Source organism: Homo sapiens, chromosome 12, assembly GCF_000001405.40.
Source record: "Homo sapiens chromosome 12, GRCh38.p14 Primary Assembly".
Lineage (NCBI taxonomy): Eukaryota > Metazoa > Chordata > Mammalia > Primates > Hominidae > Homo > Homo sapiens.
The window spans coordinates 46,941,183-46,955,204 of record NC_000012.12 but is presented as its reverse complement, the minus strand read 5'-3'; the positions used below and the strand labels follow the sequence as shown (position 1 = coordinate 46,955,204).

Here is a 14,022-nt window from a genome sequence, read left to right as displayed (position 1 = left end):
GCATATGAATACCTGTGTAACAAACCTGCACATTCTGCACATGTATCACAGAACTTAAAGTATATATATAGCATCATTGAGTATTTTCATATTGCAATGTATGCTATTTGTTTGTTTGTTTTAATTTCAAAATAGAAATCTAAGCAATGTCTTTCAGAGATCAGCTACTAAGGAAAATGCAACATCATCTTATGCCTGCTCCTTTGTATTTATTTTAAAACAAGTTAATCTATGAAAACATCTATTTTGAAGAGAACTTTAGAGAACTTAGGCTATTTTTTAAACTATCTAGCCTATAAATTCCCCAAGAGTGAACACTTGTCTGCCTCTGACCACTCAGTTATTCAGCTATCCAGTTCTCAGCATGGAAATTGGCAAAACATTTTCCCATCTTAGCAGCTTCTCATCACTGTAGCCTTTTCTAGACATTAGCAAAATATGTTGTAAAATCTTTTTAAAATATAAAGCATGTTACACTTAAGTATAAATTGCTAATATCTTAAAATATTGTTCCAACCCAAGATATTTAAAAATCTTTACCAGGAGAAAAGTTTCAACCTAAAGAGATAGTGTAGGAAGAAAACAAAACATTGGCCTGACTTGGAACCCACAAGGGCCCAGTGGTCCAGTCCTGACACTGCAGTTACTAGCCGTGGGACATTAGGCTACTTGTGTCAGCATTCTGAGCCTCATTCTCTTCTTTCAGAGAAAGGGGTCTGCGTGGAGCTTTGAGACATCTTCAATTTCATATATTGAAGTAGACATTCCAGATGGAGGGGAGGTTGGAGAACTCTGGGACCTTAAAGAACAGGTGTAGTGGGAATAAGACAGGCTGGAAGTATGAGAGGCTGTCAGAGCATGAGATACTAGAATTCAAGATTCAACATTAGAATAGTTACTGAGGGTAAGGCCAAGGGAGTGAGAGGCTACAGTGAGGTGGTAGCAAAGTCTATTGCAGGTGGGGTCAGGAAATGTGGCTAGGATTTGATGGAGATCTCCCTGGGTAATAAGAGGGATTTTGGTGAGAAGAAAGACTGTGAGCTGGAGCCCAATATCTTTAGTGAATATAATACACGACCTGGAAATTAGTAGAGCATAGTAACTTGGTGCAGCCATGTAAGTGCCAGACAGACTTTAGTTCAAATCACAGCTCCACCGTGGACCACTGCTAGTTTTTGGGCATGTTGCTTACCATGTCGAATCACAGTACACTCAACTATAAACTGTGAGAAATAAATACGTCTATCCCACAGAGCTGTTATGTGTAGCAGATGCTAGTATAATAATTACCTACCCAACAACCATTTGCATCTTCTTTTTTACTAACAAAACAAAATCCTTTATGAAGCTAAATGCTCAAGCTAAGTTGGTCCCAGCCTTAGACCCACTGGGTAGATCTTGATTCGTCTTAGCCAGTCATGGTGATCCCTTCTTCCTTTCCAATGATTGACTTATGAAAGACTCAATACTGGACAGTGTGATGTAGGATAAGCTAAGATGACTTCTGGGAAATATTTCCTATCTTTTTACTTTGGTGTGTGAAGATGTGATGCCAAGAGCTTCTGCAGCTATCCTGAGGAAAACTAGCAGATAAGCTAAGCTTAATGAAAGAAACCCTTAGTTACCTATCAAAGGCAGTATTTGAAAGACTAATGACAAAATTTCTGAAAACAGTTTGGAACTTGAGAATTTGGATTGAAATATAATCTAAACATTGTTCCTTCTTAGCAACATAGAAATTGCATTATTATCTTTAAAAGGAGAATAGAGAGAGAGACCTTGAAATGAGAAGCTAACAGATCTGTCTTTTAAAACCAGCAGTGACTGGAACTTAATGAATAAATTATTGGATGTTCTACCCTTCTACCCCTGTAGTTATTATGTGCCTTAGGAGGTAGATTAATGTTGGTTCAAGAAGTATAAAGTGAGTCATAAGAAGAGAATCTGATTCAATGATCTTGACATTTATTAAATGCCAAAGATGATAATTTAAACTGTGTTTTTTTTTTTTTTTTTAGATTTTTAGGGGAGGTGTCCCATTATCTAAATACATTTAAGAGACAAAGCTGGCTGTGAATGTAGAGTGATTCAGACAGCATATATTTATTCACAGAACTTATAGCTATTGACATATGGGAGAGCAATCCAGAAAGTGAACACTGTAACCTCATCCTTATTTTCCTACCTGCCCACTTTTCAAAGGGAAGAAGCTGTCTGACTTATTGGCTGAAAGCCTCATAGGCAACTTAAATAGTTTATCAACTTTGAGTCTATACTTCAAACTTTAACTGAACCGAACAAGCAAGCTGTACACACTATAAATGGGAACATTGTAAACATATATTTGGATGTGTGCAGGATGTACAGGATCAAAAATATTTAACAATCATTAAGGCATGAAAACTGACAATTGGAGTGAATGCCAGCTGTGGGCTGCAGCAGAGTCTTGAGAGGCCAATATTTTTTCAGCCATCAACCCTTCAAGTTTTACATCGTGGGGTGGTGGGAGGATCCCAGAGGAAGAGCTAGATGGCTAGAGAAGGGGTGCTGTTTGCCAACTGGTATGGGACTACTTCAATAATTTAATAAACAGTGTGGCCACACTGGAACATACCAAGTAAACACCAATCCTGAATACAGAAACTCATCGAAGTTGTCTTTTGACTGCTAAGGAAACTGACCCAGAATGTAACTGACCTGTCCAAAGTCATATCCAGTTAGCTAGCTGCATACCCAGGGCTATATTCCAGGTTTCATGCTTCCTAGTCTTTTACTATTTTCATCTCTGTATTCTAGGGAGAAAATGAAAACAAAAAAGTCCCAATTTTTGACCATCCAGGTCAAAGGAAAGGTCCAAAACTAAAAAACCAAAAGTAACCATTTTTAACACTAAATTGAAACCATCAACACACTGATAATTTGATTAATGATGCAATTTTTCCTTTGCTTACCTTAGGAAATCAAATAATTAAATCTAATTTTGGAGTGTTTATTTTATTTTTGTTTTATTACTCTGTCACCCAGGCTGAGTGCAGTGGCACAATCTGAGCTCACTGAAGCCTCGAACCCTGGGGCTCATGCAATCTTCTTTTTATGGGCTCCCAAAGTGCTGGGATTACAGGCATGAGCCACTGCACCTGGTCAGTGTTTATTTTAAATTGTGTTATTTTTAACTACTCATTCTTTATTTTATTTTGTTTTTTTGAGATGCAGTCTCACTCTTTCACCCAGGCTGGAGTACAGTGGTACAATCTTGGCTCACTGCAACCTTCGCTTCTTGGGTTCAAGTGATTCTCCTACCTCAGCCTCCTGAGTAGTTCGGATTACAGGCATGTGTCACCACGCCCAGCTAATTTTTGTATTTTTAGTAGAGAAAGGGTTTCACCATGTTGGTCAGGCTGGTCTCGAACTCCTGACCTTGTGATCTGGCCGCCTCGGCCTCCCAAAGTGCTGGGATTACAGGTGTTAGCCACCACGCCCAGCCTCATTCTTTATTTTTAATACAGAAAGAAAACTCGTTACTGACTTAGAGTAAATGTGATATAGTAGCTTAAAAATAATTAATTTGGAGGCAATTGAGTAATTAATTTGGAGGATTGAGTGTTCTGCTGCTTATTAGTTACGTAAACTTTGGACCTGAATCTTTGCATTTCTGAGCCTCACTTTTCTAATCAGTAAAGTGGAGGTAAACAAAGAGCAGGATTATTGAGAAATGGCCACAGAATGGAGTGCAGGCCATTCTGAGATGATGGAAATTTTTGTTTGTTTTGCTTTTTTTGAGACAGTCTTGCTTTGTCACACAGGCTGGATTGCAGTGGTGCGACCTCAGCTCACTGCAACCTCCCCCTCCCAGATTCAAGGCATTCTCATGCCTCAGCCTCCTGAGTAGCTGGGATCACAGATGAGCACCACTACACCCAACTAATTTTTGTATTTTTAGTAGAGACGGGTTTTCACCATGTTGGCCAGGCTGTTCTCGAACTCCTGGCTTTATGTGATCCACCCACCTCAGCCTCCCAAAGTGCTGGGATTACAGGCATGAGCCACTGTGCCTGGCCGCATGACGGAAATTCTATAATTGGTGTCCTCCAATGCAATATCCACTGGCCACAGGTTGGCTGTTGAGCACTTGAAACATAGCAAGTGCAACTGAGGAACTGAATAAATTTTATTTAATTTTATTTAATGTATGTTTACATCTGAATAGCCACATGTGCTTGGTGGTTCCTGTATTGGACAGTGCAGGTATGTAGACAGCAGAGGGAGATGCAGAAGTGCAAGGAGAACTTAAGATGCCAAAGCCAGGAGGTACTGAAAAGAGAGAGAGAGAGAATGAATCCATCAGCCTGTGTCTGTTTCTGAGTTTTTGCTCATTTCTAATCCATGCTTACCCCTCGAAGATCCTCCTTTTTCTTGAAGTAACTTCAGTGCATCTTGTTCCTTCTCACAGAACTCATCTGAATGTTCACACTCAGAACTAGTGAGATTAGAGAAAGGATCAGAAGCCAGGTGTCCTGATATTCCTTAAAGCTCCTTCCAGTAATGTCATGCTCCTGTCTTTCTCTTTCCAAAGAGAACCTATGTGTACACACACACGCACACACACACACACACACACAATCATTTCTCTGAGACTTGTTCTGGCTTTGAAAATTTATGTAAAATTTTAATATCAATTTTATTTGCAAAAGCATGTTTTCAGGAAGTAGTCTGACTTGCCACAAATTTCTTTGGATGTAATTGTGTTGGACATTTTTTATCTTGTTTATTGCAAGAAACTTTTAATATGCTTGATAGCTTCAGTGTTATGTCCATCCTTTCCCTGCAGTGGCTGACTTCCTGCTGCACCAGTCCAGGCATTTTTGTGCCAGTTCCCATATGTTCATGTAGCCCCAAGGCAGATTTGCTGATATGCAGTGGGTTGAAAAAGAATACTTCTACGAGCGCAACATTGCATACCAAGGAGATTATCTTTTAGAAAGACTTAAAAGTCCAACAGATATGCCACAAAAGGTTAGATGACATTGATGGTTAGCAACTAGGAGTGGTAAGCACAGATATTAATGGACAGTACACAATCATTCATCTTGACTCTAGATTATACACCGAACTAAAAAATAAAAATGGATTGCTTTAATAATCCCTTTCTTTCTCATCTTCTCATTTAATGGGTTGGAGATGCTAAACCTTCTGTACTAACCCAATAATAGTTGGTAGAAATAATGGATATTTAAACTATGTTATCTGGCTCTGGGAAAGCCACTCCTAGAAAATGGGAAGAGGGGCTGGATGCGGTGGTTCATGCCTGTAATCCCAGCACTTTGGGAGGCTGAGGTGGGCAGATCACAAGGTCAGGAGTTCGACACCAGCCTGGCCAATATGGTGAAACCCTGTCTCTACTAAAAATACAAAAAAATTAGCTGGGCGTGGTGGTGCATGCTTGTAATCCCAGCTACTTGGGAGGCTGAGGCAGGAGAATTGCTTGAACCTGGGAGGCGGAGGTTGCAGTGAGCCAAGATTGTGCCACTGCACTCCAGCATGGGCCACAGAGTGAAATTCCATCTCAAAAAAAAAGAGGAAAAATGGGAAGAGGTTTATTTACTTCTAAATTTGACCAAAGAAATACCATTAATTAATTAATGGCTTAAAAGTGGTATAGAAACATGAACTCAGAAGACCTATCAATGCTTATTTCTCATTAAGATGCATTTCAGAATGCATCCTATTGTTCTTTGGGTGCTAATGAATCCATATTTAAAACATGCACACAAAAGCATCTCTCATGCTTCTGAGACAATTGCTGTAAAAATGCACCAGTTGATGGTTTGCTTAAATGGAGCAAATTGTCACCAAGTTGCACAGCCTTATTATCTGTACTGTCACTGCAGAAAATCTCACTGTGTATGTGACCTGAATGCTTATTACCTAGTGGAAAATTCCATAAATGCAGAATAGCCTACAGCACTCAACATCTGCCTTTATTTTTTTTTTTTTTATAATCAAACACAAGGGATTGCCAGGGAATAGCTCCCAAAACCATGGGGCCTCTTTACAATCCTCTGTCATTTTTGTCTATCTATATTAATTCTTAAACTGCATCCATTCAAATTGCCATGCTTCAGCCCTGAGGAATGTAAATAAGGAGGCAATTATGAAGATGTGTTTTCCGGTGCCACACATTTAAATGATTAGCTGAAAGTCAAATGTTAATGTCACAAAATAGAGAAATAAAATATATTCAAGGTATTTTGCCCATAGTTAATAGGCTAAACTAGAGCAAGCAATCTAACATTGCAAGGAAATTTGAATGTGGAGACTCAGTGTTCTTTTATTAGCTAAATGTACAGAACAGTAGATATATTTCATTTGCTTTAGCCTCCAGGCAGGATTGGAGGGATTGTGGGGGTAAAGGTGAAGGAAGAAAATGTGTGGAGATGGATTGTATGACAAAATGTAAGTGTACAGTTAGGCAGGGATGTGAGATGAGAAGACAATTCAGAGCACAGTCCTCAACCTAAAGTTGCCAAGTGCTCACAGACAGCAAGGAAATTCTTTATTTTGTAGAAATAAGCTATGAGCTCTCTTGAGCCCCTTCCTTCTCTGGGTCCCACCCCCTCCTTTAAGTTAATTTGAACAAACATTAACTATAAAGTTTGTAATGTCTTGAATCACCCCAATTTTTATTTCTCATGCATTATGAAGCTATTCTCTTGAGTAATTTCATAGAGTCATAAAGTCCAATATGAGTTGAATTGTGTGTCCTCCCAAAAATATGTTGAAATCCTAACCTATAATACCTCAGAATGTGACCTTATGTGGGAATAGGGTCCTTGCAGATGTAATAAGTTAAGATGAGGTCATAGTGGAGTGGGGTAGACCCCTAATTCCATATGACTGGTGTTTCTATGAGAAGACAGCCATGTGAAGCCACAGAGATACACAAGCAGAAGGCCACGTGAAGCTGGAGGCAGAGACTGGAGTGATGCATCTACAAGCCAAGGAACACCAAGCATTGCCTATGTTCACCAGAAGCCAGGACACAGACATGAAACAGATTCTCCCCCAGAGCCCCCGAAAGGCACCCGCCCTGCTGACATCTTCCTTTCAGACTTGTAGCCTCCAAAACAGTGAGAATAAATTTCTTTTGCTTTAACTTATCTAGTTAGTGGTTGGTATGGCAGCCTTAGGAAACTAACATAATAATATTTTAAAGAAAACTTAACGTTTCTCCCTTTAGATGACAATTCCAGCCATAATCCAATAACAAAAGTGCTTGCTAGCATTTATTACTTACTGAAGACATGCCAGACACCATCCAGTTTTCCTCAGCAGAACCTACCAGATCACTGCCACAGAAACCAGGCCACCTTGCAACCCTCCTCCAGTATTCAGTGATTCTGCTCTTGCCCATAGATGGTCCACTCAGCAGTCACAGTTTTGAGTCTCTAGAATGCAGTTCTCCAAATTTCCAAAAATTCCCTCTGGGCTACATCCATGTAACTAATACATTGCTCCCTGGAGATAGGCCTAGGAGGAAGTCAAAAAGTCAACTCAACATCATCTGGAAAGCATGAACTCAGAACAAGGTGTGTTACTGGATGAACTAAATATTTTATGGCACCAGATATATCCATTGCAAAAACAAGGATAGTGTTTGGGCTGGTACATTGCTGTCACCTCCTCTGTCACAGAAGCATGAACTGAGCAGGTTCAGCTTTGCTTGGCACCTTTTTTCACAGCTCCCAGAGCCGACCAATCTCTTTCTGAGAGGTTACTGTTTTATTTTACATGTTTTATTTTTAAGCTACATTAGTGTATTAATCAATGATACAATTATAGTTTGGTCTGTGTGTTAGTCCGGGAAGTACATGTCAAGATGGGATTAAACATGCATGGATTTTATTAAAGGAGGGAGCTGAGGAAAGCTGGGATAGTCATTGGTCTATGATGCAAGCCTGACCCTGAAGGAAGGAGAAAGGGGAAGGGCAGGAGGAAGCATCTTAGACATTTACAGTTGGAGGAAGGTTCATCAAGGTATTGGGGGCAGGATGTGGGGCAAGAAGGGTCACTTGTGGCAAAGTGGGCTGTAGAAATGCCCTATCTTGCAGAAATGCATCTGCCTTAGTGTTTCTGTTGCACTCAATCATGGCTGGGAGCAGCCCATGGGAAGCTTGGCCTCAGTACAACATGGCGAATGATTTCAGAGCATGGAAGCTAGAGCCCTTGGTCAGTTATGCATCCTGTCTTTCATGACCCATACACCACAGCCTGGGAGCCATACTTTTTCTTTAAGGGGACTGATTGCCTATCTTAGTAATGTGTTGATTTAAAATTTAACTACCAGAGGCAATTTCACTTCTCATTTATTGGAAGAAATTTCCTGTGGCATGACCTCCAAGTATTTATAATATCTATCTTGTTTTATTCTATTTACTTCTTATACATATGTGTGTGCAAATATATTTATATATACACACAATATTATGCATCTCTTAATAGCAAGAATATGTTCTGGGGAATGCATCACTAGGTGATTTTGTCATTGTGCAAACATCATAGAGTATACTTGCACAAACCTAGATGGTATAGCCTACCTACTATACACCTAAACTATATGGTAAAGTCTACTGCTCCTAGGCTACAAACCTGTACAGCATGCTACTGTACTGAATACTGTAGGCAATTATGACACAATGCTGGGTATTCATGAATCTAAACATATTCATACATAGAAAAGGTACAGCAAAAGTATGGTGTAAAAGATTTAAAGTAATGGTATAAAGATTTAAACGGTATAAATATTTAAAGTACAGTAATGCCCTAGGCCTTCATGTTCACTCACTACTCAATCACTGACTCACCCAGAGCATCTTCCAGTCCTGCAAGCTCCACTGTGAATGAGTGGTGAGTGAACAGGAAGGCCTAGGACATTACTGTACACTACTGCAGACTTTCTAAAGACTGAACACTTAGCCTACACTGAATTCATAAAAAAATTTTTTCTTGCTTCAATAATAAATTAACGTTAGCTTACTGTAACATTTTTACTTTATAAACCTTTGCATTTTTTAACTTTATGAATCTTTTGTAATAACACTTAGCTTAAAGCACAAACACATTGTAGAGCTGACAAAAATATTTTCTTTCTTTATAGCCTTGTTCCATAAGCTTCTTTGTATATATGTGTATGTACATATATATACACACATATGTACATGCACATATATATAAAATATATATATATATATATATATAAATCCCATGTCTAAGGTCAACCAGCTGGCTCTCACCTTCTCATGTCTAAGGTCGACCAGATGTCTCTCGCCTTCCCATGTCCAGTATTTATTTATTATATTGTATTATTTATTTATTTATTTTTGAGACAGAGTTTGTCTCTCTTGCCCAGGCTGGAATGTTGTGGTGTGATCTCAGCTCACTGCAGTCTCGATCACCAGGGCTCAGCAATCCTCCTGCCTCATCCTCCTTAGTAGCTGGGCTACTGATGTGCACCAATTTTTGTATTTTTTGTAGAGATAAGCCTTCACCATATTGCCTGTGCTGGTCTCAAACTCTTGGACTCAAGTGGTCCACCTGCTTTGGCCTCCCAAAGTGCTGGGATTACAGGCATGAGCCACAGCACCCAGCTGCTGCTTTATATTTTTAAAATGTCTTTTTTTTATTCTTCTTAAAATTTTTTTAAACCTTTTTTTTCTTTTTTTTTTGGCTAAGAACTAAGATGCAAACATACACATCAGTCTAGGCATATACAAAGTCAGGATCATCAATATCATTGTCTTCTACCTCCACATCTTGCCTCACTGGAAGGTCTTTGGGGCAATAATACACATGAAGCTATCATCTTCTACAATGCCTTCGGGAACACCTCCTGAAGGACCTGCCTGAGGCTGTTTTACAGTTAACTTTTTTTCATGAGTAGAGGGAGTAAACTCTAAAATAATGTTAAAAAGTATAGTTCAACATATAGCTTAACATGGTTATTGTGAGAACAACTAATCAGATAAATCATTCCAAGCCCCAGAGGTTATTTGAAGGGGTGGGGACTGAAGAGGAGCTGTATAGTAAATACATAAACCACTAGTATAGTTGTGTTGTTTATCATCATTATTGAGTATCATATACTGTACATAATTGTATGTGCTATACTTTTATACGACTGGAAGCGCAGTAGGTTTGTTTACACCAGCATGACCACAAATAAGTGAGTAATGCATCATGCTACATTACGATGGCTACGATGTCACTAGACAACAGGCATTTTTCAGCTCCATTAAAATGGAACGAATGTCACACATGTGGTTTGTTGTTGACTGAAATGTTATACAGCACATTACTCTGTGTGTGTGTATCTATATTTAAATGTTATGTGCTGCATAACATTTCAGTATACATATAGTGTGTATATATATTTACTGTATATATACACACATACATGCATACATATACATATATGTTTTAAAGATATATTACTGCACTTAAAAAAGAGAGGAAAAGCTATTGGAAGCTAAATACTTCCTGAGATATATAACTTTCCCCAAACCCATAGTGAAATGGTTCTTAAATAGAAAAGCCCTGTGTTAGTGCACCATATGATATCAGTTAGACATCACACAAATGCACATTCCTAATAGCATCTCAAGGTGAATAAATGATATACTTTATACATTGCTGCATATATCACATTTAATGAAACACCTACCTGAGTCTTAAAGACACTTTATCTTTAATTAGAACACATGCTGTACTCAGAAATAGTAATTTTGACAACTCTCAGTACTGAGAATGGGTGAAACAAACAACAGTGAACATCATTTTCACACCACTGTTCAGACAGCAATTTGAAGAAAATGCTGAGCACAGCTCCCCCTGCCTTGTCAGTGAATGTTGCCTGGAGATTTGTGAGAACACGTGCACACGTTGACTCAGCAAGACCAAACTGACTGTACATCCATGATCCTCTGGGAGTGAATTGTTCTTAAAATAATGTGAAATATGAAGCATCCAAGAGGTGAAGGAAGCAGTGAAAAATACCATCTGCAAAATAAGAATCTTGGATTGTTGTCTTGTTTATACTTGAGCCTTCAATAAATTACTTAATTAGCTTCTTCTTGACCCATTTCTCTTTTATTTAGGCTGCTTAAAAAAAAAGTCCCTGGTAGTTTACATAGCACAGTTTAATACACATAAAAACACTTTAGCCTAATGGTTCCTTTAATGAAATTTATGTGAAAATGTCACTTCAATCATGAGACTTTTATATTTGTCCAGTTTTATTAATCTTTATAACTTGTGGGATATTTTTCAAAGATCTGAACTAAAAAAAAAAATTTGACTGGAAAAATGAGGAAAAACATTTTGAGTCTTTCTTTATCAAAGAATCATTTATTTTTTGTACTCCAGGAAACACTTATGCATCAAATTTACTAAAGGTTCATTAACAGTGCAGTAAGTCTAGAATAATCATAATCTAAAAAATAACAATCTTCAAGTGATCAGATTTTTGTCTTTCATAGTCAATAGTCTAATGTTATGGAAAAAATTACAAGTGAAAAATCATAACAACTTATAAGGTGCGTTTAATGTCAACATCCTTTGATATCTTTAGTTCTTTACAGTGTGCATCATGTTAATCAGTCACAACATCCTATGTTATTGTCAAAATGCTCTATTTGCTAAGACAAAAAATGAAATGAATTATTTTATAATTTTAATGACAGGAGACACAAAAAGGATTTTGGAATTTAGAAAGTTAACCCTTAGCAAGCCAGAAAGTAGGGTAACCAAATTCTCTCATTTAATTCTCTTAGACTTTGCTATACTTCTCAACACATATGGAAAATATACAGCTCCCTAAGGACGGTTGCAGCCTAACATCCCAAACCAAAGAGCATTGATTGTGTCAGTTGCTAGGAGGCCACAGTAGCATCAGTAACCTGCTTTCCTCTTATGCCCACACGGTTATCCTGAGAACAGTTAATCAGATAAATTATTCCAAGCTCCAGAGGTTATTTGAAGGCATGGGGACTGAAGAAGAGCTAAAAAGGGAAAAGGAGATGACTGCAACACTTCCCCAGCTCCTGAAGCAAAGAGACCTGGAAAGAAGGGAAAGCTAAATTTTTCTGGCACCTCTCACTCCATTACAAACACACACACACACACACACACACACACACACACACACACACACTCTCACACGATGCTGCACCTTTCTCGCTTCTTTTCTCACTGTTCCCCTTGACTTTCATTTAAACTTGACTTTGCACATGTAGAGTGCTTATGAGCTACAGAGGAAGGACACAGGCAGACCAAATAGCCTTGAGTCACACATTCCTCCAGGAAATTATCTTTGGGCCCTATGATTTACTGAGCAGGTGCTCAGTAACTGTATGTCAAATAATTGAAGGCATGCATGCCACCTACTGACATTAGGCTTAATTCTTACCATTCATTGGATGACTTATCCTCTTTCAGTTCTGAATCATTTCCTTCTGCATATTTGAGAGCTCCTATGCTGCTAGGAATTGCGGCTTTGGGAATTAAACATGATCATCCTGAACCCTAAAAATTCTGGAAAATATCTATAGAAGCTTGGGTTTTTCCATCCTGTCTTGGGCTCGTTCTAATTTTGTAAATGACTTTCACGTATTCTCTTGATAGTTCACCTGCAGCTTAAATTTTATGGGCACCTTCAAATGAAATTTTTATATAAATGATGCAATATGTGCATCAAAATCCATCAGAAATTGAAATTCCATGGTGAGAAAATAAATCACTAGAGAGTTTGTTTGTTTATATATAAAGAATGTGCCTATTTAATTTAATGCTCTATATGTAAACGATCAGCTTTAAAATGTAATAATCTATAAAGGATTCCAGATTTTTACATGTTTACATATTTAACATTCAAGAAGCTTGACTTGAATCCAGATCTTCAAGGTTCTGTTCCCACATGCCAGGAATGAAGCAGGTTAGGACACACTTGTTAATGTCTGCAGTTGAAGGCCATAATGACCCTTCTCCATTCTGCTGGATGCATACTTCCATCATGACCTAGGGTTTGCCTGCTAATTTCTACACAGGCTCAGAGCCTATGACAGAACCTCCTTAACCACCATGCTCTGTGGAGGTACCTATACAAAAATCCTGGGTCATCTTCCTTGGGAATGACATTATTGCAGGTTCAAGTCTTGTTATGGGTTGAAGTACTGTGTAGCATAATGTTATAGTGCTTAATACAAATTATACAAAGCAATTAAACATTGGCGAGTAAAGCTGTGTCAACAGGGAAATATTTAGTAAAAGATGAATCCACCTAGATAGATTTGTTTCATAAGCGTAAACCTGTTTGTGGCAAGGTTATGCTGGTGCCTTATAAACTCCAGCCCTTTGAATAACCTTAATGTGCACTTTTTCGTAGCCCACAGAGTTTCTATGACCATAACTTGCATACTTCTCAGAGCAGAAGGACTGAAACAATATCTATCAGTGGTTCTCACAAGAGCAGCAATAATTTTTTTCCAAAAGGTCTTCCAAAAGTCTTTAAAGATTTGTAATTACTGTTCATTTATTGTAAAATAAACATAAATTAAAAATTACAAGAAAATTAAAACTCAATTTCACCACCCAATAATTAACCACAGTTGACATTTGTCTAATAGGTTTCTGGATGTTTTTCTAGGCATATATGTATATACTTTCCAAAGACGGGAGCATATTGTACATACTCCATACGGGTGTTTTTTTTTTTTTTTTTAAATTGTTTTGTGATTTGGGGTTTTTTTTTTTTTTAATTTTTTTTTATTATACTTTAAGTTTTAGGGTACATGTGCACATTGTGCAGGTTAGTTACATATGTATACATGTGTCATGCTGGTGCGCTGCTCCCACTAACTCGTCATCTAGCATTAGGTATATCTCCCAATGCTATCCCTCCCCCCTCCCCCCACCCCACCACAGTCCCCAGAGTGTGATATTCCCCTTCCTGTGTCCATGTGATCTCATTGT

The 14,022-nt window shown here is 38.2% G+C and overlaps 1 long non-coding RNA gene across 1 annotated transcript; it reads right to left on the bottom strand.

The window, feature by feature from the left end:
• Positions 1 to 5,976: 5,976 nt before the first annotated feature.
• Positions 5,977 to 13,715, bottom strand: LOC124902924 (uncharacterized). The gene is made up of 2 exons (XR_007063285.1): positions 10,718 to 13,715; positions 5,977 to 7,527 (listed from the first exon to the last, which is right to left on the bottom strand). It is a non-coding gene; the product is annotated as an uncharacterized LOC124902924 (long non-coding RNA).
• Positions 13,716 to 14,022: the final 307 nt, after the last annotated feature.